This window comes from Homo sapiens, chromosome Y (genome assembly GCF_000001405.40).
Source record: "Homo sapiens chromosome Y, GRCh38.p14 Primary Assembly".
NCBI classification, from domain to species: domain Eukaryota; kingdom Metazoa; phylum Chordata; class Mammalia; order Primates; family Hominidae; genus Homo; species Homo sapiens.
In genome coordinates, this window is record NC_000024.10 from 18535517 (window position 1) to 18560784 (window position 25268).

Consider the following 25268-nt stretch of genomic DNA (forward strand, 5'->3'; position numbering starts at 1 on the left):
GTCAGAATTAGAGCTTAGGGTTAGGTTTAGCATTAGGCTTGCGTTAAGGATTAGGGTTACATGTTAGTATTTAAGATTAGGGTTTTGGTTGGGTGAGTGTTAGTGTTTGGTTTCAGTGTTTAGAGTTATGGCTGGCATTGCAGATGGTTTAGGGTTACAGTTAAGGTTTTAGGTTTGGGGTTAGGAATTGGGTTTCCATTAGGGTTATGGTTAAGGATTAGGTTTGTAGTTAGGGTTGGTGTAGCGTTGGTGTAGGTTATGTTTGGGATTATGGTTTATTACTAGGGTTTAGGTTTGTGTATCTGTGTTTGGGTTAAGTTTGGTGTTTTGGTTAGTTTTATAGTGCTAGGCTTAGAATTATAGGGCTAGTTTTTCAGTTAGGGTTTGGGTGAGGTAATGGTAGTGGTAGGGTTATAGTTTAGCATTAGAGTTAGGGTTTTTTGTGTTAGGGTTTGAGTTTTTTTTTGTTTTGGTTAAGGTCGGCTCAGCACTACTTTTGCATCAGTGTCAGTGTCATGTTTAGGGTTATGGGTTGGAATTGGGTTTAGTGTTATGGCTTAAGGTCTGGGTTGTTTTTGGCATTGGGGTTAAAGTTAGGGTTATGGTTGGGGTTGCGTTTGATGTTGTGGGTTAGAGTTAGGGTTAGTGTTAGTGTCAGTGTTTTAAGGATAGGGTTATGGTCAATGAATTGTTAGAATTAGGGTTAGGGGGTAGAAGTTTGGATTAGGGATATTGGTTAGATGTTGGACTTACATTTTTAAGGTTAGAGTTTTAGTTTTATGGTTACAATTAAGGTTGCTTTTAGGGTTAGTTTTGAAGGTAGCTTTTGGGGTTAGAGTTAGAGTTGGGATTAGTGTTCAGAGTTTACAGTTAGTGTTCGATTTAGGGTTTGGTTTAGTATTTAGGTTAGGGTTTTGGTGAGTGTTATGGTTTAGGGTAGATTCAGGGTTTTAGTAGGTTTAGGTTTAGTGGTAGGTGTATGTTTAGGGTTATAAGTAGGGGTAGAGTTACATTTAGGGTTAGGGATATGTTTTGTTAATGGTGCAGGTTGGGTTTATGTGAGGATTAGGATTAGGGCTTGAGGGTTATTGTTAGTGTTTCAGCATTAGTATTAGGGGTCATTTTTAGGTTTACACATCTTTTTCTTTTTCAGCCATCTCCACCCATGGACCAACCAGCCCATTCTCTCTGCCCATGTGCATTCTGAGGTCCATATATATTCCATACTTATTTAGGTTATTTATTTAATTACATATGTATTTATTTATATTTGTATTTATTTATTTTTACTTGTATTGATTTATTTTTATTTTGTTTTTTTTGGAGATGGAGTTTCGCTCTTGTTGCCGTGGCTGGAGTACTATGGTGTGACCTCGGCTCACTGCAACCTCTGCCTCCCAGGTTCAAGCGATTGTCTTGCCTCAGCTGCTGAGTAGCTGGGACTAAAGGCATGCACCATCACATCTGTCTAATTTTGTATATTTATTAGAGACAGGGTTTCTCCATGTTGGTCAGGCTGGTCTCGAACTTTCAACCTCAACCTGACTTAACGTAGATTTACCAAGTGTGTGCCACCTCTCCGCTGTGAGGTGTACACTTATTGGGATTGCATGGCTGCAAATAGATAGGTCTCCTCCAAACTTAAAGCTGCAGATGCATTTCAACAACATTCCTGCAGATAGAAGCTACCCACTCTGAAACTTCTCTCCACTGAGGACTTCAGAGATGTTTTAACAACCTACTTTTCCACTGAAGCTGGTCACTATTGGTTCTGTCTTCAGTGAGTGTTGCACAGATGCAGGTATGTCCTGTTTTTGAAATGGAGTTACCTGCTTTCTGTCTCCTGAGAGCTGTACTTTCACTCAATGAAGCATCTATTTACCTTGATTATTCTCCTGTTGTTCACATACCTCATTGTGCCTGGATATGTGTCAAGAACTCAGGACCCACTTAATGGTGAACCCGAAAGATTGCTAACAGAAACAGCGCCGAAACACACAAACCCACACTTACCACATTCTCGGTTACAGGGATAAAACAAAAAAGGATAGAAGAGGTTCAGGTAAATTATGGGTGATTTATCAGTTTAATTTTGATGAAATCATATGTACATTAAATTTTTAAAATATATCTTTAAAATACATAATTTATTTGATGGGCAATATTTAAACAATAGTAATATTTTAGCTGTCTTTCTCGGTCATTTTTATTATTATTATCCTAATAGGAAAAGGTTAAAATTGTCACAGCAGAGACAGGCACTATATTATTGATCTCTTAAGGTGTCATTAACTTCTTAATATAAGACAATTTATAATCTATATAATCAAAATATAAAAATGAAGTCATCTCTTTGATTTAAAAGTTCTCAGATGAAGCAATTGTCAAGTACATATTTTTATCTCTATGGATATTTTAAGGCAACTCTAAATATTTTTTAAAAATATGACCAGGGCACTGTTATCACACATAATACAAATTAGTTTACAAGCTTGGGAAAAGGGGCAGAACCCTGTCCTTACAAAAAAATACAAAAATTATTCAAGTGTCGTGATATCAGCCTTGTAGTATCAGCTACTTGGAAAGATAAAATACCATTTCATTTGTTAACTTTTGATATTTGTTTACACTTTCTTCATTACATTGTTCAAGTTAGAGTAGTTCATCAATGATGTCTTTTAGTTTGTAGAGCAACATTTATCTTTGAGATTTTGTATAATAGTCACCTCAAAAGTCAACATTTTCATCATCAAATAAACATTTTTATTATCAAATGAATATTTTAGTCACTGACAAAAAAGTACTGCTTCCTAGTCCTGCAAGAAAATATATTTATATGATATACTTATATGTAAATACATAATATATAACTCTATATAATATACATATATGTTTTGCAAGCCTGAATGTAATCATAATTTTTGAGCCTTTTACAAAAGTGACCAATAACACTTGGTCCGTTTTTAGATTTGAAAATGTTCAATTGGGCCAGGCTTAGTCATGCACACTGATAGCCTTAGCACTTTGGGAAGCCAAGGCAGGTAGATTACTTGATCTCAGGAGTTAAAAAAAAAAGCCTGAGGTACATGCTGATATCCCATCATTACTAAGATGCAGTAGAATGGCTGAATGTTATGGTCTGCACAAGTAATCTCATCTACCTTTGACACTGAGGTGAAAACATCCCCTGAGCTGTAATTGTTTTGCTACTCTGCAGACTGAGTAATGAAGAGAACACATGCCACACACACACACACAAAACTTACACACACAACCACACACACACACACACACACACAGAGAAAAAAATGGCTTAATAACATCTTAATTTTTTTTTCCTTTGTTTCACTCATTTTATCAAGGCCACATTTGTGGCATGTATGGTAATAAAACACTGTTGCACAACTTTTTATTATATGATGTAGTACATAGCTCTTTCTAGTTTATAGAAGAAGCTGCACCCCTTCATAAGAGTTTACTGTTCTTTCAAGAAGGTAGTTCTTAGATAGCTCAGAGACAGGAAGAAAAAGGGATCTTCTGATTTCTGGGCTGCCTTCTGTTTCACTCACAGCAGTTCCACTTCTATGTACTAGAATATCACTTAGATTTCTTTTAAAAGTCATTAGTGCACCAGTAATGCACTGACTTCCCATTATAACTTTCAGTATAAGTTTCTAAATTTCATAGCTAAACTGTAAGCCTACGTTATGAGTATGATTTGCATATATAATTCTAATTTACATATTTCAGTTCTTTATCCTCACATATCCCTCACTCTTGTTTTTTCTTGTGTCAACAATTTATTTTCTTTCTTTTTTTTTTTTTGCAATCCTTCTTTGAGAATTTATTTCATCTCTCTTCTTTTTTTTATTATTATTATACTTTAAGTTTTAGGGTACATGTGCACAATGTTCAGGTTAGTTACATATGTATACATGTGCCATGCTTGTGTGCTGCACCCATTAACTCGTCATTTAGCATTAGGTATATCTCCTAATGCTATCCCTCCCCCCCTCCCCCCCTCCCCCCACCCCACAACAGTCCCCAGAGTGTGATATTCCCCTTCCTGTGTCCATGCATTCCCACATTGTTCAATTCCCATCTGTGAGTGAGAACATGCGGTGTTTGGTTTTTTGTCCTTGCGATAGTTTACTGAGAATGATGATTTCCAATTTCATCCATGTCCCTACGAAGGACATGAACTCATCATATTTTATGGCTGCATAGTATTCCATGGTGTATATGTGCCACATTTTCTTAATCCAGTCTATCATTGTTGGACATTAGGGTTGGTTCCAAGTCTTTGCTATTGTGAATAGTGCCGCAATAAACATACGTGTGCATGTGTCTTTATAGCAGCATGACTTAGACATTTATGCAGCCAAAAGACACATGAAAAAATGCTCATCATCACTGGCCATCAAAGAAATGCAAATCAAAACCACAACGAGATACCATCTCACACCAGTTAGAATGGCAATCATTAAAAAGTCAGGAAACAACAGGTGCTGGAGAGGATGTGGAGAAATAGGGACACTTTTACACTGTTGGTGGGACTGTAAACTAGTTCAACCATTGTGGAAGTCAGTGTGGCGATTCCTCAGGGATCTAGAACTAGAAATACCATTTGACCCAGCCATCACATTACTGGGTAACAAGTTATTTTCATTAGTTTTCTCTATTCAAAACACTCCTTTTTCTGCAATCTAGTCAATGTTTCTGTTCTTGTTCTTTGAACTTATAATAATACTTTGAGCTTCTGTCTTCAAAACTTTCACTCAAAAATTTATGTGTGCGTACATCTACGTGTGATTATTTGCAACAGTTTGGCACCAGGGATGGGTTTTGTGAAGACAAGATTTTTCATGACCTGGCGTTGTGGAGACAGTTTTGGAAAGATTCAAGTGCCCCGCATTGTTTTTTTGCTTTATTACTGTTATTATTACATTATAATATTTAATGAAATAATTATACAATTCACCATAATGTAGAATCAGTGGGAGCCCTGAACTTATTTTCCTGCAGCTAGATTGTTTTCTCTGTGGGTGATGGGAGACAGTTACGGGTGATCAGTTTTTTGATTGTTATAAAGAGTGCAAAAGCTAAATTTCCTGCATGTGCAGTTAATAGTTGTGCTCTCACTTCTATAAAAATCTGATGCTGCCACTGAACTTACAGAAAGTGGATCTCAGGCAGTAATATGCACCATACATAGTGGTTTAAATAGAGATAAAGCTTCCGTACTTGTTCACCGCTCACCTGCTGATGTGTAGCCCAGTTCCTAAGAAGACACAGATGAATACTGGTTGAGGAAACCCCAACTGAAGCCAAAGAGTTTGAGACCATAGTGAACTGGAATTGTGCCGTGCATTTTAGCTTCAGTGACAAGGAAATAACCTGTCCTCACAGGAAAAAGAAGTAAAGAATATATTTTATAATTTGTATTTTAAATACTATCTTTTGATACAAACGTGAGAAATCTTTTACAACTTTAAATGGGGACATTAACAGTCATCAAAATGTTCTTGATTCTTGGGAATAGGATATCAAATGGAAGGTGCAAATGCACATCATTGTAAAATGTGATAAAAAGTACGTTTTTTTCAGCTTTGAAAAAAAAAATTATCTCTTTGAACACAACCAGAAGACATTAGAAGTGTTTGTGCTCATGCAAAAAATTAACTTCTGCTTTCTCTTTACTCTTTTAGTGGTATCAGAGAGGTAGTCAAGATGATAACTTGTTTAAAGGGAAATGCTATTGACAAAATAGAGTGACTGACTAGGGAAAAAAAGTGATTCTTACTAGGTTAATAATTTTGGATGTAAAATAATCTCCCAGATTGCTTTCATCCCTACTCTAAAATAAATTGCAATTTAATGATTGAATCTTGAAGAGTTGACAGAAGAAAGCATTTTTCTCTTTCTAGTATAGATACATCTATACTATAAGCAAAAACTTATAAGTCTAAAAGCGAAAAACTTCCTTAATTTTATGGGGTTACAACAAATTTTAACAACCACTTGTTTCACAAACAGATTTCTTTCTTTAGGCCTAACCAGCTAATTTTATTTCTCTGCAATTTGATTGGGAGATGTAATGGTAAAATATATTTGAAGATATTATATGTTAAATAACATGTATGTCTTTCTTGACCTTCATAACATCTGACCTCCAAGCTGCCTGCATTATTTCGCACTTACCTGCCATTTAAATTGTGGTTTATTTTTAACATCATACTGCTTGCTATTTACACCTCTGAGACTTGAAACAATTGCTTTTCACCCTACCTGCCACTCAATCCACACCTTTTAAATTAATTATATATAGGTTTTACCTTTTTATAAGACAGACAGAACAGCCTTGCCAACAGGGTGAAGCCCCATCTCTACTATAAATATGAAAATTAGCCAGGTATGGTGGCAGATGCCTGTAATACTAGCTACTGGAGAGGCTGAGACAGGTGAATCGCTTGAATCTGGGAGGTGTAGGTTGGATCTGGGAGGTGTAGGTTGCAGGGAGGCGAGATTCTGCCATTGCAATATAGCCTAGGTGAAGAGAGTGAAACTCTGTCACACAAAATGGACAGTGAGGATTAAATTTATTAATATGTGTGCGGCTTTTTAATGTATTACCTTGTCTTTAAGCACTATAAGTATTAGCTGCTATTATTATTGCTTACTATATATCTTTAGTTTATTCACACCAAATTCTGCTTAATCGCATACAAGAAAACATTAGAGAAGTAACACAGATAGTAGTGGCTATATGGAACCACATAGCCATCAGTGTCTGTGTCAGTAATGTTTTCTGGTGTGCAACAAATAAGAGACTTTTTACATACACACGTTCTTCAAACATAGATTTCTCTAAACATATATTAAAATGTTTGAAAACAAAAACAATACTACAGTAAAATGTAACAAATTTAAAAGCCATTAGATTATAACTGTCTACATAACATTTACATTTTACTAATGATTTATGCAAAGTTAAAGTAAACTACACAGGAGGATGTGGGTGCATTATATTTACATACTACACCATTGTAAATCAGAAGCTTGAGCAGACACAAATTATAGTATTTAAGAGGGTTCTGGAGCCAATCCCCTACAGATACCAAAGGATTGCTATATATAAATATTTTAAGCTTTGGTAAGAAAGTATTGCTTAAGTTAGTTATGGCATAATTACCCTAATGATGTTAATGATTATTTACTTTTCTTTTTAAAATAAATTTAAAAGATTATAAACTTTAAAATTATCATTAAATTGTTTTAATGTTTGTTCAGGAAATGAGAACATTTGTACCTGTTCTCTGTTTATGGTATGTTAACACAGTTAAGCACTTGCTATTTAAATAATTTTCTTTTGTTTCTGTGGCCAACACAAATGATTTGAGTACGACTAAAATAATGTGCAATTACATTCGGTGATTATTTTGAATTTCCTTGGGAGCTGGATATGGGACCTTACACAGCAGCATGCATTGCAAAGCTGGAACAGAATAATTTCAAGTCAGAAAATCAGTTGATTCAACAGAAAGAGTAACCTGAAAATAAAACTACAAAGATCACAAAATACAGACTTGCAGATGTGCCTGTACACAGTGGTCTAGCAAGCAGTGGGTATTATTATTCTTATATTATTCAAACAATGGTAGGATGATGACTGCGATTCCTGGTATAAATTTGATGATGAAGATTTAGCAGAATTTAAAATGGATGATGATCAAGAAATTTTAAAAATCAGTGTTTGGATGGAGAGTACATAAATATATTTGATCATACGCTGAAGTGCATGTCACATAGACGGTAAAAGAGCTGGTAAATTGCTTATATAATTTTCAAACAATAAACAAATGGACATGATAGATGAAGATGATGAGATGATAAGATATATATTATGGCTAACTCTTGTGAGACCTCATCACATTATTATGTCACCAGCCTTTGAGAAAAGTGTATACTAACAAAATGTGACACTTACGCAAAAGTGAAAGCAATAAAGTTGAGAGCATTTGCAGTTTGTGAAAGAACTGCTTATATATATTGGTGTTTATTGAAGTCCTGTTCATGATAAGCTTTTTGATTACCTTCTTAGTAATAAAAATAATGTATGCTTGGCTTGTATGATTCTTTACAAGGCATCAACATGTGTTTAATACTTTTCTTCAGTCTTCTTTTAGCTTTTTTCATGGCATCATTAGCCTTAATTTATGTGAATGTGTAGCCTTTCTATTTTAGTTATTTCAAAGTAAGAAAAAATTAAGATGTCTGTACCTTAAAATAGTGGACTTTATGTATGGAAATATGAAGCACTTTTATTTATTACACAAATTATTATTTTTTACTGAAGCATGAGCTTGAAATGCGGGTTAGTGAAGCGGCAGGATAATCACTGAAAATTGGTCTTACCTAGCAAAAATTTTATTAAGAAAGAGCTTGAAAATACAAATGTTTTTGACTGTATATATACTTTTTATTTAGAGCAGAATTATTTTTCTGCCTGCATCAAATTAAATGACTATCATTAGCATACAGTTTGCACCTATATTCCTCATTACCACTGGATTTTACATTAAAAAAATAGCTTGTGGTCCTGCCAGTGACTGGTATTTGGCTTTGGATTTTATTCACAGGGAACTTATAATTGGTTTGGTTGTCTATTATCCTGCTTTACATTTTCCTAACCATAAAAATATTATTTCAGATTTTAAATATGCATAAACTTTTTTTCAGTAATTGTGAGAGAATTCTTAGTACATTTAAAATTGTCTAATCTAAATGTGTGTTTATTATGTAAAAATTGGCTTCTACTCCAATACATTTATATTACACCTTTTTCCACTTTATCATTAAGTATGAAGTTTTACCTTTACTAGATAAAATATTAAGTGACAATTAAAAAGATACAACATATTTTAGATGACATTTTTTGCCTCACATTTGTAATTCCAATAATTTGGAAGGCCAAGGCAAAAAGAATGCTTGAGGCCAGGAATTTTGAACCTGGTTTGGCAAAATGTGAAACACTATCTCCACAAAAGCTTTTTAAGAAATAGGAAGATATCGTGGCTCACACTGGTGACCTTAGCAATTTGTAAGTCCAAGGTGGGTGGATCACTTCAAGCCTATAATTTCGGGCCAGCCTGAACAACATAGCAAGATTCTGTCTCTAAAAAAATTAAAATAATTCATTAAATTGAATAATTATCTGAGCCTACTAGGCGTTTCCTGCAGAACCAGCTAATTGGGAGGCTGAAGCGGCAAGAACATGGGTAGCACAGGCTGTCACTAAGAAGATCAGACAGACATCTTATTCTTTTTTATAGCTAAGTGGATACAGCCTACTGAACATTTATGTTTTTCATATAAAATTTCTTATTTTCTTGCTTTTTTATGACTAAAAGTAGGCTTCCAGTTTGGAGTCAGGGGACACCTTTAGCTGAGCCATCTCCCCCTGAACACACCAAGGCATTCTTCCTCCCTAAACTGTCACCTATCTTAGCTCCCCAAAATGCTCAGCCACAATTTGTCTTAGATTATCCTACATTTAATGTGATTTTGTCTTCTGATTCTCCTATTAACTCCCTCTTTCCTCCACACCCATGTCCTATCTTTTGCTGCTCTCAGTAATCATTCATCCTCTCGCATCACAAAAGAAGTCTGTACTCCCTTCAGCTAGAGCAACATGAAAATTCCTGAGAAGAACAAAAAAAAAAAAAATTTTAATTTTGCACTTTTTTAATTTTAAAAAACTGTCAAAATTGAGAAACCACATGCATCTGGTAGGGGCACCTGTTTCATCTTCACAGAGTTTACTGATTTGAACATTTTTGTTACATAATGTTAATACAGAAAATTCTGAATTAAACAGGCACACACACAAAAAAACAAAACCTAAACTATATTAAACCAAGGCAATTTTCTAACAATGACTCCTCTTTCCAGTATGAGAGAACTGCCTCCTACAGTATGAGAAATATCAATACTATATTTCTTTCTTCCACACATATTCAACACTTACCAATGCTAAGGAGTTCGAATTTTAATATACCAACTGTCAACCATGAACATATAAAAATTCTGACTGTAAATGATCCATGGTTATTTTACTCAATACTAAAATTATTTCACAAATTCAAGTCCTGTTTTATAATGATACCATTATTTGCATGGCACAAAGATTATTCCTTACAAAATCTATTCTTTAATAGAGATTTGGTTCTTGGAGCCAAATTAAAAAAAAATATGCTGCTTAGACACACATACATATTTACTTTTCTTAAAACATTTTCTCAATATTTTTATTTTTATTATTTTTTTAATCTCCCACTCTTTGGGATCCCCTTACAAGTAAGTCACCCGCTTTTAAAATCTCTTTCATCTTTAACATTTGTCAGATATTTAGAGACATACCAAATTAAATCATTATATATTCTTCTGATATGACTGAAACATGTTTTGAAGAGATATGCATAAATATAACGTTTCATTCTGAAATATAATCAGTTAGTTTTATTCATCTTTGTCTTCACCTTAACTTTTGAAGGTAAGTTTCAAATAACATAAAATTACATTTGAGTGTATAATTGAATGGAATTAAATATGTTTATAATGTCATACGATCATCATCTATCAATAGTTCCTAAATATTTCTATTGCCCAACCAGAAACTCCATATCTATTATACAGTTCTTTTTATTGTCCAGCCCCTGACAACCCGTAACCTACCTTTTATCTCTATGGCCATGTCTTTTTACCACACAGGTTTAGCATTGCATCAGTTTTCAATCCAACATGCCAAACTAGTTTTAAAATCATTCATATTTCTTTTTCTTTCCTTTATTTTATTTTATTTTTTTGCATTTTGCAATTACTAGGCCTTGTGCTCCTCACACCAATCTAGTTATAATGAGTGTGTCAGGAAGAACATTGGATTTATTTCAGGGATTGAGGACATTATTTCCTTATTTATTTAAATAATGATGCAGGCAAGAGATTTTTGCAGCTTACATTGTGTAAGTGAGCAGTCTATATTTTATTTTCACTGGATACATTTCTCAGATTGGGAAGGAAACCCTTTGGGCTAGAATTTTGTTGGTTGCTAGGAGACCAAAGTCCCCTTGTGATGTCATTGTTACTCAGTTTGGGAACCATTGTGATGGTCTAGATAAGTGTACATGCTTAGGCCTTCTGAAGCAGCATTTGAAGCTGCAGTCCTGAAAACCATGCAGGCCGGAAGAGTAGATAAAGAAATATTTATTTGAGATGGCACATGTTTCTTCAGAAACTCAAGATGTTTCCCCCAAAGATGAATTAACTGCTTCAGAAGCCTCCACTAGGTCTCCATTGTGTGAACACACCTTCCCTGGGGACTCAGACTTACGGTCAATGATTGAAGAACATGCTTTTCAGGTTTTGTCACAAGGATCCTTGTTAGAAAGTCCAAGTTACACAGTTTGTGTCTCTGAGCCAGATAAAGATGATGATTTTCTTTCTCTGAACTTTCCCAGGAAACTTTGGAAAATAGTGGAAAGTGACCAATTCAAGTCTATTTCATGGGATGAGAATGGAACTTGCATAGTGATTAATGAAGAACTCTTCAAGAAAGAAATTTTGGAAACAAAGGCTCCTTACAGAATATTTCAAACTGATGCTATCAAAAGTTTTGTTCGACAGCTCAACCTTTATGGATTTAGTAAAATTCAACAGAATTTTCAAAGATCTGCCTTTCTAGCCACCTTTCTGTCAGAAGAGAAAGAATCGTCTGTCTTAAGCAAGGTATTTGACATATTTGAGTTACCACTTTATGTAAAGTATATATGTAATTTTACTTTGTACATCAGTAAATATGTTAATACATGCAGTAAGACCAGCTTTTGAAAATTATATAAAATATTAAGGTAGAAATTTTGTTTTGAAATTATTGTGTTCAGCTTGAGCGTTAACCTTTTAGTGTTTTAAGAAATTTTGCTAACAACTTTGAATCTTACCAGTGAATTCCAAATAAATGTACCAAAGCCACTTAATGAAATATTACTATTAATATATAACATGTTTTCACTTGAGGGCTTAACAACTTGAGTGGTTTTTCACAATAAGCACATTCTTAAAAATAGTAAACGATGTTTATGAGTTATTTGATGACATTAAATTTGTGTGATGAAAGAGAAATCTGATATTTGATGTGTTATGTTTGTTATTTTCACTTGTCTCTTGGCTTAAAATGGCACTGAATTATGTTTTTCTTTGGTTTTAGTTAAAGTTCTATTATAATCCAAATTTCAAGCGTGGCTATCCCCAACTTTTAGTAAGAGTGAAGAGAAGAATTGGTGTTAAAAATGCTTCACCTATATCTACTTTATTCAACGAAGATTTCAACAAGAAGCATTTTAGAGCAGGGGCTAACATGGAGAATCATAATTCTGCCTTAGCTGCTGAAGCTAGTGAAGAAAGTTTATTTTCAGCCTCTAAAAATTTAAATATGCCTCTAACAAGGGAATCTTCTGTCAGACAGATAATTGCAAATTCATCTGTCCCCATTAGAAGTGGTTTCCCTCCTCCTTCACCTTCAACCTCAGTTGGACCATCAGAACAAATTGCAACAGATCAACATGCTATTTTAAATCAGTTGACCACTATTCATATGCACTCTCATAGTACCTACATGCAAGCAAGGGGCCACATTGTGAATTTTATTACAACCACAACTTCTCAATACCACATCATATCTCCCTTACAAAATGGTTATTTTGGGCTGACAGTGGAACCATCTGCTGTTCCCACACGATATCCTCTGGTATCAGTCAATGAGGCTCCATATCGTAACATGCTACCAGCAGGCAACCCGTGGTTGCAAATGCCTACGATCGCTGATAGATCAGCTGCCCCTCATTCCAGGCTAGCTCTTCAACCATCACCACTGGACAAATATCACCCTAATTACAACTGATCTGCCATTAAAAGAGGACCAGATTATGAATGACAACAGAGACTAACATTTACATTGACAAAAAACCCTAAAAATTTCTGCAATTATCTTATTGAACAATAAAATTGCATGTTTACTTCTATGTTTGCTTTTCCTTTATTTCTAAAAGTATGGTTAAGAAAAAAATGACATTTTGTTTCAGTGGGAGGCTATTGTACTACTTTTTAGCAAAAATATATATGGGCTTTTTGATCCTTTGAAAGCAAATTTGACATGTGCCTTTGTAAGTTAAATAATTTATCTCTCTAAAGAGGAAGAAATAATAAAGTTTTGTGGTCCATTTTCTGCTGAAACAACACAATACCACTGCCTGGGTAATTTGTAAAGCAAACTTATTTTGCTCACTTTCCTGGAGGTGGGGAAGTCCAAGGGGTTGCATCTGGTGAGATCCTCTTTCTACGTTACAACATGGCAGGTCGGCCTCCTACGGTGAAGGGCATGAGATGAACAGAAAATCGGGGCCAAACTCATCCTTTGATCCAAAGGCCACTCACACAATAACTAACTTGTTCTCCATATAATACCATCAAGTCAGTCATGAGGTTGCACCCACATGGCTAATCAACTCTTAAAAGTCCTACCTCCCAACACTATCACAATGGACACAGAATTTCAATGTGAAATTTGGAGGTGACATACCAAACAATGACAGCAGGCAAGGGAGAAGAAGCAACCGGAGTTAGGAAAAAATAATAAGTGACTTCTCAAGTAGTCTGGCATAAATCAAATGAGGGTATAAATTTGAGTGGCACAAAGGGAATAAATGGACACATACACACAGACAAACACACACACACAGACAAAATTTAGAGAAGAGTTAACACATACTATACACTTCAGTATTTTCTCAATTACATTTCCCCAGTTATTTTAAACTTGGATTTTAGTTGGCAAAGATTGTCTTCATTGCAATTCATCCCTAGTGAACTCAGTGACCACGATCACAACTGTTTGTGTCATCACTTGAATAATAAAGTTTACATCATATTATGCTCATGGATTGCATCACTGTCAGAACATTGTGGAATTTTACAGCTGGCATTAACAGTACACCTTTTTGATCCTACATCAAAGCATTCCAACCTGTTTGTGCCTTTAATTACCTCCTGTTAGAGTCCACTTTTCATGTTTTCTAATGCACATTTCCTTCTGTTTTTTTTTTTTTTTTTCTCTGAGACAGTCTCTCTGTGTTACCCCCGCTGGAGAGCAGTGGCATTATTTGAGCTCACTGATACCTCAACCTCTAGGTTCAAGCAATTCTTGTACCTCCATCTTTTGAGTAAGTAAAATTATATTTGCCCAAGATGCTGGGCTAGTTTTTGTACTTTTAGTACAAATGGGGTTTCACCATGTTGGCCAGGATGGTCTTGAACTCCTGGCCTCAGGTAATCCACCCACCATGGTCCCCAAAAGCACTGGGATTACAAGCTTGAGCCACCAAAGACCACCTCTAATGCAGATTTTCAACACGTTGGTTCCATGCTCCATACAAAGTCAGATTTAATTGTTTTTGTCAGGATTTATTAACTTTTAGATTCTGAGTCCAGATCATGAGCATGGCTGAACAAATCCATTCCAGACCTGATATTTGTTTTCCTTTCAGCTTCATGTCTTTGTGTTTCACCACAGTCTATTTGGAGCAACATTCGGAGAACATCACTTTCAGCCATGCCCTTTACCATCTGGTAACAAGGCTCCCATTTCTACTTGGAGGTAAAAGGCTCTCTCCCTGTTTGCCTACTTAAGACTCATACAACACAGATATCACTCCTTCTAGGAGGTGCTTCTCATCTATCATATTAGTTTTCTTGTCTGTCTGTGTGCCTTGGACAACCAGCACTGATGTAATACAGTATCTGACACATATATGTATGTGAGTGTGTGTGTATATACACACACACACACACACACACACACACACACATGTATGTGAATTAGTTGATGTTGACTGCGGACTTACAATCATAAACTCTATTTTCGTTGTCAAAAACACATATTCTTGGTATTGAGGCATTATTTGTTATTCTTCGTTCCTCACCACAACTTATCATAAAAGCGTACCTCACAGTATCCTTCACTAGAGATGCAATATTTTGGACTTACTGAGGCTAGCGTCCCTGCTTATCCCTTTGACTATCATGCTTTCTTTTTACATCTAGTTATGATTTTCCCCTGCTTCTTCTAAAAATTCTTTTTCATCTTCTGCTTTGAGTAGCAGGTCCTTGTCTGAAAGAACTAGCTGTATCCTTACCACTCCTTCCTTTATTTGCAGTGGAGATTCCTGGTTGCTGTGATGAAATGGGATACACTGGGGATCCAGCTGCACAACTTTTCGGAAGCAGCATTCACTGTGGATTTGGTATATTATGCAGCTTTTGGTGTCACAGGCTAAGGTCTGACAAGATTCACCATGCAGTTTTCTGGGATAGCAGAAAATGAACATGGATTTGGACAGCCAGATTCCTCAGGATGGAAACCTAGTGGTGCCATCTAACCATATACGTATATTTCCAAGTTGTGCATAAGTAGAAAAAGTTTAGAATCCATCATCTAAAAAGGGAATCCTGATTTCCTTTCCTGGCAGACCATGACAGAAAGACAAAGGTCATTTCACCTATATCCACATGCTATTAACTTTTTAGTTCTCAAACTGGGTTTTCAGAAGGTAGTGTGATAGACATGGTTAAATGGTTAACAGGAAGAATGTTTAAAAAAAAAATTCCGGCTGGGGTGGTGGCTCAGGCCTGTAATCACAGCATTTTGGGAGGCCAAGCTGAGTCAGGAGAATCGCTTGAACCCAGGAGGCGGAGGTTGCAGTAAGCTGAGATCCTGCTTTTGCGCTCCAGCCTGGGTGACAGAGTAAGACTTCATCTTAAAGAAATCCACAACAATAAAAAGGCTAATGCCAGACACAATAAAAAATGAAAAGAATAACTTGGGTGAACAGCAAGGCAAGAAAGAAAAAAGGAAATGACAGTTTAGAAAGTGAGGATAAAGTAATGAAAGATGGAATGAGACAGGTTAACATGTGGAATACATTATTGTAAGTTTAAGGCCCGAATAAGACGAGTGTCAAACAACAAAAGCAACAGTAAAATAAGCACAGAGAGGAGGAGAGAGAGTGTGAAGGAGGAAAAAGAGTAAGCAAATGCAAAACATAAAGTGATCAGCATGATTAGAAAATCTGTCCATTCCCACCCTCGGAAAATTCTTTGTATTTTGAGGAACATCCTTACAAGATTTTAATGTAACCAATCACAGAGCAGTCTAACCCAGAAAATATCCTAGCTTCTTCTAGGATTCATACAAAGACATTGTACCTTCTTAAGTATTCTCTCTCTATCTAGGTTAAACTAGCTTAAACTGTTTCAATAACAAAAATTACTTTGAATTTTCTGCCCAAAAGGAACATCACGGACGTTCTTCATCTTGAGTCATCACTTGAGTAATAAAGTAGATGGAGAAGATGTACTTTCTCCCTCACATAAATGCAATTAATATCCGTGCGTGATATATATAAAGCAAACATAAGACTGAAGGATGGAGCAAGAAGATAAACTGGTGAGGAAATTTAAGATGCAACAAGTGATAAGATGGTTGAGTTCCCTGAATTCTTTTTGCCTGGTGTTATCACAGACTTGATCCTGAAGGAGCTGGTACCGACAAATATAAGTAGGTATAGACAGAATTGTCCCCCAAAAGCTCCAGCCTCTATAGACACAGGTCTAGGAAAGGGACACCTTATTAAGACAAAAATCTTTGTACAATAGCCATCCTACTTTCGTCAAACATTACAACACAAAACAAAACGACCCAAAAAAGCTAGCCAGGACAACAAAGTTTAAGTTGGAACATAGAGAGCACCAGGCATTAATGAAGCAACCCAACCCTCTGCCGGAGTGGAATCAGGGAAGGTAAAGTAGAGAGCTAGAGTTTTCAACCCTGCCGTGTGGTAACAAGATACCCTTCCACTTCTAGCCAGGAAGGTACAAGTAACACCTAGGTTGAAGCTGGAATCTGCATATTTATTTATCAGTAATGAGGAGCACTGCCTTGGGTGTCAAAGGAAGTGAAGACGGGAAGTTGGAATTGTGGCCCTACTTGACAAGTATACACTTCCCTCTGTTAGGGTGGTATCAGACAAAGCCAGCTACAGATGAACAAATAGGATGTCAAAATATGGTCCGGAGTCTCCTAACGGTCCCCCAAATGTTTAACTTTCAAGTAAAAATCTGAGACAGAAATTCTAGTGCTACTGTTATGGGATCACTGTGGTGTCAATTTTACTTGCCAGAAACCTCTGTGACCACGATGCCTTTCCTTGAGTTCTTGTCCTGTGTGCAGGGAGAATGAGATAGAGAGTCAAGTGAAGGGTAAAGAAGAAGAAGAGTTCTATTTAGTGTTAAAACAGTTCAAAGTATTGGTGTTCACTCAGGACGGTAGCAGAAATACTAAAGGGAAATATTAGGGAAAGATATAGGGAATAGTCACAAACCTTTTGGAAGGCTGAAAGGTTACATAGCTTGTAATAATTGAACAGGCTGAAGGCAGCCAGTTCTTACCTTAGAGCATTAGGTCATAGGATAAATACTAGGGACAATAGAGGCTTCCCCATTTAAGCTTGTTAACCTTACCTCCATTAACTAACCTTTAAGGCAGATTGCCCTCTTGGAGGAAGGTTGACCAAGGATATTGCCCTTTAATGGAATTTACTTTAGACCACGGTACCTGAGCTTTAATCATTCATAGAACTACTCTCTCAACCATGTTAATTATGTACAAGTGTGCTGACTCAGAGTTTCTGTTGTTAATCACATACTAACTAAGTGACTGGAGTGCAAGCTTCTAAGGGCCGGTCACAGTAAAAAACATTTCTTGATGTGCAGGCGCTTGGACACCCAGCTGTACTGGCAAAGCAGAATATTTGTCAGTTTATGCTTTATTCATCCATCTTTTGGGTCAGGGTCTGCAGGCAGACCCCTACAGCTAGTGCCCTCTTGTGAGGAGCAATACCTCACAAAGGAGTGGGTAGCTCTTCTCTATAGGCAGGTCTTCCCATGGTGTGTTCACTCTATAGAGAGGGAGGCTCCTCTCTGCAGGCAAGTCATTTACATGACTCTGCAGGTCTCTGCAGCTCTCTGCTGCAGCTGCTGCTCCCAGCGGAGAGGGTACTGCTCTCCTCCCATGGTCTGCAGGGATCAGCAGGAAGGGTACCCCTTTCTGCAGCAGACTGGCTTTTTAGTGTCTTCATAAGAACTTTCACAGAGCAATAGTTTTTAATTTTGATTTGATCCAGTTTATCGGTTTTCCTTTTATGGTTTATGCTTTTGGTATCAAATGTAATAACACTTTGCTACAACTAAGAGGCTTCAATTTTCTTATGATTCTTTTATTCTGAAAATGTTTTATAAAATGTCTTATAATTTTATATTACATTGAAGTTCATGAGCCATTTTGAGTTAATTTGTGTAGAGTAATGTTTATGTTAAGGCTTTATTTCTTAAATTTATGGATGTCCACATGCCATAGCACCATTTGTTGAAAGGCTGTTTTTCCTCCACTGATTTTTGCTTGCCAGATTTATGTCATATTACCTGGTCATATCCACACCAGTGTGGCTCTATTCCTGGGCTTTCTCTTCTGCTCCATTTTTTACACGAATCTGTCTCTATGCCAATACTAAACTGTCATGATCACTTTAGCTGTTTAATAAGTCTTTGAAATGTTGTTGATGGATTTCTCCCACTATATATTAAACACTAATAATTGTCTTAGCTATCCTAGTAAGTTTGCATTGTCTGCAAAAATTCTTGCTGAGATATTGATAGGAATTGCATCAAATATATAGATCAAGCTGGGGAAAATTAACATGATATATTATATCTTTACATCCATGAACACCGTGTATCTCTTATTATTTCTATTTGATTTATTTCACCAGTATTTTATATGCTTCAGCATACAGATCTCATACCTGTTTTCTTTTGTTTAAATGCATATCAAAACATTTGATGTTCTTTGGAGCAGCTGTAGATGATACAGTTTCTAATCTGGGGAAATGGCAGAGTGCTAACTAGTTTAGATTTACTTTGTCTGTTCAGTTCCTAGGAGGGTGGTTTGTGGTAGATGGTTAACTCCCCACTGAAGCCTTCTGACAGGATAGGTTAGAGGAGGGTAGTGGGGACAGCAGGCAAGACACACAGTGCAATCTGTCCTACTTAGCTCTGGCTCTTTAAAAACTGTGGTTGTTGGGTCGACCTGTATGCTCAGCTTGCTACCGGAGTCTGCTGACATAAGGGAATTAGAATGCTCTCCTCTGCTTTCTCCAGGAGGGTGATAGAATATTCTCTCTGGCCGGGCACAGTGGCTCATGCCTGTAATGCCAGCACTTTGGGACGCCAAGGTGGGTGGATCACCTGAGGTCAGGAGTTTGAGACCAGCCTGACCAACATGGAGAAACACCATCTCTACTAAAAATACAAAATCAGCCGGGTGTGGTGCCACATGCCTGTAATCCCAGCTACTTGAGAGGATGAGGCAGGAGAATCATTTGAACCAGGGAGGTAAAGCTTGCAGAGAGCTGAGATGCTGAGATTGTGTGTCATTGCACTTTAGCCTGGGCAACAAAAAGAAACTCCATCTCAAAAAAAAAAAAAAAAAAAAAAAAAAAAAAAAAAACACAACAACAAAAAAAGAACGAAAAGAAAAAAAAAAGTTGCTGACTAGTTTGACTTCATGGGGAATGAGAGCATCACTGACATGTTGAGAAGACTGTCTCTGTACATGGCTCCACAGAAATGGCAATACTAGTTAATTTTATTTTATTTTATTTATTAATTATTTTCTGGTAGTGTTTATCTGGAATAGTTTGGTTATTACCTTTAGAAGTGTTTCATGCTATTGTGTGTGGTTAGGTCATCCTCTCCTTGTCCTTTGGTTGAGAGAGAAGAGGATTTCCTTGAAGTCCTTTTCTTCTGTGCCTATTGGAGATTCTGGATTGGAAACTTCTACAGTCCATCATCTGCGATATACGGAAGACACTAGGAAAACCAAGTAAAGTGACCATGATACCACTCTGCAAGTCCTTATGTCCCCAGACAAACTGTCTTCCTTTTTCTATCTTTCAGATCCTGTCCTTGTTTTTTGTCTTTACATCTGTGGTGTTTCAGTTGTTCAGAGGAAACAATGGGGTGTTGCATTGTAACTAGAAATCCTAGGAAGTGAAAGTTTGAGAATGGCTTTTAAAGTACCATGCAAACCAAATCTCATAATGCAAAACATGGGAAGATATGGCATGACATAATTTACCCAAAATAAAGTGATTTTTATAAAATAAAGTCTTCACCAAATTTAAATAATCTCAAAGAAGTCTGCTGAGATCAGCTTGGTCATGGAGACCTTAACCCAGCTGTGCTAGAGGAATTAAAGACAGACACACAGAATTATGAAGTACAGAGTGGGAATCAGTGGGCTGACAGCCTTCAGAGCTGACAGCCATGAACAGAGTTTTACCCACATATTTGACAGTAAGCCAGTGATAAGCATTGTTTCTGTAGATTGTAGATTCAGTAAAAAGGAAGACAAAGAGTTGGGTTCTCACTAGTTATCTGAAGCAGGAGCAGGTCCTTGAGGCACAGATCGCTCATGATATTCTTTGTGGTTCAGGAATGCCTTAAGCGGTTTTCTGCCCTGGGTGGGCCAGGTGTTCCTCGCCCTCATTCCAGTAAACCCACAACCCTCAGTGTGAGTGTCATACCCATCATGAGCATGTCATAGTGCTTCAGAGATTTTGTTTATGGCCAGTTTGGGGGCCTGTCTATGGCCAGATTTGGGGGTCTGTTCTCTACATATTCCTCTTTTTGGTTTTTCCAATTCGATAAAAGCAAAGGTGGCTTTATCACGGTGAACTACGTCTCACAGGACTTGGGATCTGCATCTGCAGACTATACAAAGACAAACAACACAGATTTAAAGCACAATCATCTTTAAATCAGAGTCTCCAAGTGTTTTTGTCCTTTTTAATGGGTTAATAGCAGCTAATCCATCCACAGCTCTTTCAAGCACTCCTGTTCCTGGCATTAAGATCAAGCGTGCCTGGGATAATTCAAATATTTGCTCTTCTTAATTTTGCAATATCCAAAGACATATTTGTAGAATGTCCTTCTAGATGCGTTTTTATTCTTTCCCAAATTTTGATCAGATTGCCGTTCTAGATGCTTTTTTATTCTTTCCCAAATTTTGATCTTATTAAGAGCCAATAACAGTTTCCACAAATCCTAATGTTTAGCTCCTAGAGCGGGTTGTATCATTTGTTGTTGAGGTGCCATTTTACCTCCATGTTTCCAGAAGATCTCTTGCTGTATCTCTTACCATTTCTACCATCTGACCATTTTGGTCAGACAAGCTGAACATAGTGTGGCCTTGGCACACAGACCGAGAGGTGCGATTTAAGCTAAACTTCCCCTTAGGGGACAAATCAATAAATATTCCATAGGAATCGTTGCAGAGCACCTCTGCATGTTCTGCAATGCAATTTTCTAAAACAAGTACATTCATTTATTCTGGCCGTGTCTATTTCTGTTTACAATTAGATTCTTGAGGGCAGTATGCCTCAATTCTAGGAGCAGATTCATTATGATAAACACTGAGACCAGAAAGCATATGTAACTGTGTCAGCCCTGCAAAGGAATACTCATGGCAATGGTGATCACCAGTATCATAGCTATCATTATATGGGGGACTCATTGTCCTACTTTCCTCAGGTTTTCTTTTGCCATCTGTGGCAGCTTCTTGATCTGTCCCCAGGTAGGTGGCTGTGTTCAATGCGTGTTGCTCGTGATAGTTGGGGTACTCCTCAGCATCAACTTAGAGAATGCTGCCACCGCTGGATCTTTGAGATCCTCCTAACACCTCTTCCAGGGTATCTGGCTCATAAGCAGGGCTTTAGGCATCTCAGTAGCACCCACATTGGCAGTTGATCAGTCCTGGAGAAACACAAGCATAACCTCTACCCCATGTTATTATTTTACCTATTTCCTAATTTTCTGTTATTGGATCTCACCACCAAACCAGTTTTTCTGCTTCTGTCTTTGCAGCTGGTTTCTGCAGATGCTGATCAGCTGCTGATAGCATCTGGCCTCTAGACAGGCTCAAAAAATTTAGAGTCAATAATGCTACATTCAATTTCCTATGTGGTATCCCGTAGTCCTTGATTCCCCCTTTGGCTTTTGCAACTGCTCTTTCAGGGAGAGATTCATTCTTTCCGCTACGGCTTGTCCTTGAAAATTATATGAGATACAAGTTATGTGTCTAATATTCCATATAGAGAAAAATGTCGCTACAGCTTCATTAGGGTAGCCTAGGGCATTGTCCATTTTAATAGAAGCTGGACTGCCCATCAACACAAAACACTGCAAAAGTTGACATTTAACACAGGCAGAAGACTCTCCTAATTGGCACGTAGCCCAGACGAAGTGAGAAAAGGTGTTTACACATACATGTACGTAAGTTAGTCTCCCAAATGAGGAAACATGTGTGACATCCATTTGCCAAAGATCCTTAGGTTCCAATCCTCAAGGATTAACTCTTCCTGTAAAAGATGAGGAATGCAAGCTGGGTATTGCTGGATAATAGCTTTAGCTTCTTTCCAGGTAATGCTGGACCTGCATTTGAGACCAAAGGCATTAACATGGGTTAAATTGTGAAAGTGTTTGGCATTAGATATTGTAGCAGCAAATAGGTGGTCAGCCATTTGATTCCCTGCAGTCAAAGGTCCTGGAAGAGATGTATGAGCTCTAATATGAGTAATGTAAAAAGGGTGCATTCTACTCCTAGCTGCTCTTTGTAATTGGGTAAATTCATCAGTCACTCATCTGTGTGGAATCATGCTGAGCATTTTCAACCGACTGTGTAGAATGAACCACATATGAAGAATCAGAAATCACATTTATAGGCATATTACAAGCAGTCCATACCTCAATTACAGTTACAAGCTCCGACTTTTGAGCTGAAGTATAGGGCATTCAGAAAACTTTACCTTTCGAGCCAGAATAAAAAGCTTTGGTATTACTAGACTCCTCTGTGAAGATATTTTTAGCATTTTCAATAGGTTTAAATTTGGTTATTTTAGGGAGAATCCAATGAGTTAATTTCAAAAATTGAAATAATTTTGTTTTTGGAAAATGGTTATCAAGAATACAAAGTCAGATAAATGTGTTTGTCAAGTAAGGCTATTTGTAAAAGCCTGTTGTATTTGTGTCTTTGTAAGGGGGACAATAATTTTTCCAGGATGATATCCTTGTAATTTAATGATCTAAGTTCTTCCATTTCCTATCATAGTAGTGATTTGATCCAAATAAGGAGTCAAAGTCCATGAATTAGTACGTGGAAAAAAAATCCATTCTACAAGGTATTGCCCTTGAACAATAACACCAGTAGGTGAATGCTGAGTTGAAAAAAAAAAATCTGTAAATCTAGAACTGGAGCCCACACTTGTCCCATTGTAACCCTGATGCTTCCGAACTTCTCTACTTACTCACCATGGGGATTTCTTAAGAGTAGCCAGGTGTCCTTCAGTGTAGTTCCACATTCTCCCACCCTCACTTTGGTGACTCTTTGACCTGGGTTTGATTCCCCCGTATGGTCACGACTTGCCGAAGCCACATCAGTCATGGAGACCATAACCCAGTAGCGCTAGTGGCATTAAAGACACACACACAGAAATAGAGAGTGTGGAGTGGGAATCAGGGGGCTGACAGCTTTCAGAGCTGAGACCCATGAACAGAGTTGTACCCACATATTTATTGACAGCAAGCCAGTGATAAGCATTATTTCTATAGATTATAGATTAACTAAAATGGGAGACAAAGGATGGGCTCTGGCTACTTAACTGCAGCAATAATTTGTCCTTGAGGCAGTTTCAGGAATGCCTTAAGAAGTTTTCTGCCCTGGGTGTGCCAGCTGTTTCTTGCCCTCATTCTGGTAAACCAACAACCTTCAGCATGGGCATCATAGCAATCATGAGCATGGCCTGTTCCCAACAAATTTGTTATAATATATGTAAACTAGCCAATGATTTATAGCATATTAATAATATAGATCAATGAAGAAATGATAAAATACCTCTCCTACACTTGGAAATGAAATAAAGTTGGCAAGGCTTCCAGAAAATGTAATCAAAAATATGTACTTCCTCAACTGCAGAAGGGTTATAGTAAAAATACCTTTCTCAGAGGTTTTATTTGTTAAGTGGCAAATGATTTAATAGAAATCAAGCACTTATGTCTAGTTCACTGGAGCAAAGTTAAAAGTTGCAAAAGCAACTCTTATGAAAGCCAGAGATTATAACTGTATGACAAATTTTAAAAAATCACACTGACTATCAAGAAAAGAAACAGCTCTGAGGTTTGGACTTTAGCAATATTAGTTTGAGATTAAACTTGGTCGTTCATTGAAACAGTCAACAGAGCAGTAAATTTAGATATATTCCCAGGAAAGAGACCATTTCTGTGTTCAGCGGGGTTGGGCTCCCTGCCTAAATACTTGGTGAAAAAAAGTGTGGTTCAGACATTTAAGTAAAATATTTAAGTCAGTACAGAACATCATGTCCTGCAGATAGCAGGATCTAACACAGAATGCGGTTTTTTATTGAAATTGATGAGAAAAGATTTTTATCTCAACCTCTATCCTGTGGGATATGCAAGACTGAGGTTAGATTTTTCATGTTACCTACATAATATAACTACCCCCAAAGCAGAAACTGGTATAAAATACTAGATTGCACAATTAAGTTCCTAAAATCCTGAAAAGATTAACATAAAACTCCCCCCATAAGTATCACTTTACACTCAAGAACTAAAGATCGCTTTACCACTTCACAGACAACATTAACAATTCACTGATGGATGTTCCACGTCCTAGGAGGTAGCCAGGGAAGACACACTTAAGGGTCGTACCCAAGGATAAAAAGTTGAATAAAAAATGAGTAAGTTTAGGTGTTCTCTGAGATGAAGAAATGGAATCTAAAAGCAAAAACAGGTGGTAGGAGGACAAAAATAAATTTTTAAAATAGACAATTATACATTTTTGAAAAGTGAACCATATATGAAGGTTCATGAACCATATATTATAGGAACTCAATTTTTTTTTTGTTTGTTTCTTATGCAGTAGATTCCACACAAATATAGCAAGAATAAGTACTTTCCTAAGTAGATCTGTAAGTAAGTTTGCCAGGTGCAGGGTGATAATAATACATTTGAAATGTCACCTTTCAATT

At 36.9% G+C, this 25268-nt stretch overlaps 1 protein-coding gene and 1 pseudogene across 6 annotated transcripts in view; both read left to right on the forward strand.

Annotated features, from left to right (window-relative positions):
• HSFY1 (heat shock transcription factor Y-linked 1) overlaps positions 1-25268 on the forward strand; it is a 59321-nt gene that overhangs the window by 5874 nt on the left and 28179 nt on the right. Inside the window, exons 1-4 of one of the 6 annotated variants that reach the window (NR_003510.1) lie at positions 11175-11784; positions 14598-14707; positions 15267-15353; positions 16401-16555. Coding sequence is in view for 4 of the 6 variants with exons in the window: in NM_033108.3 (NP_149099.2) it covers positions 11272-11784; positions 12263-12955 (1206 nt within the window). In the remaining 2 variants the exon portion in view is untranslated. Of the gene's footprint in view, positions 1-11174; positions 11785-12262; positions 13077-14597; positions 14708-15266; positions 15354-16400; positions 16557-25268 lie in introns of those variants that run through there. The other 5 variants (XR_007068453.1, NM_001425398.1, XM_017030085.3 and 2 more) reach the window with 5 other exon arrangements.
• USP9YP1 (USP9Y pseudogene 1) lies at positions 7415-8625 on the forward strand (annotated as a pseudogene).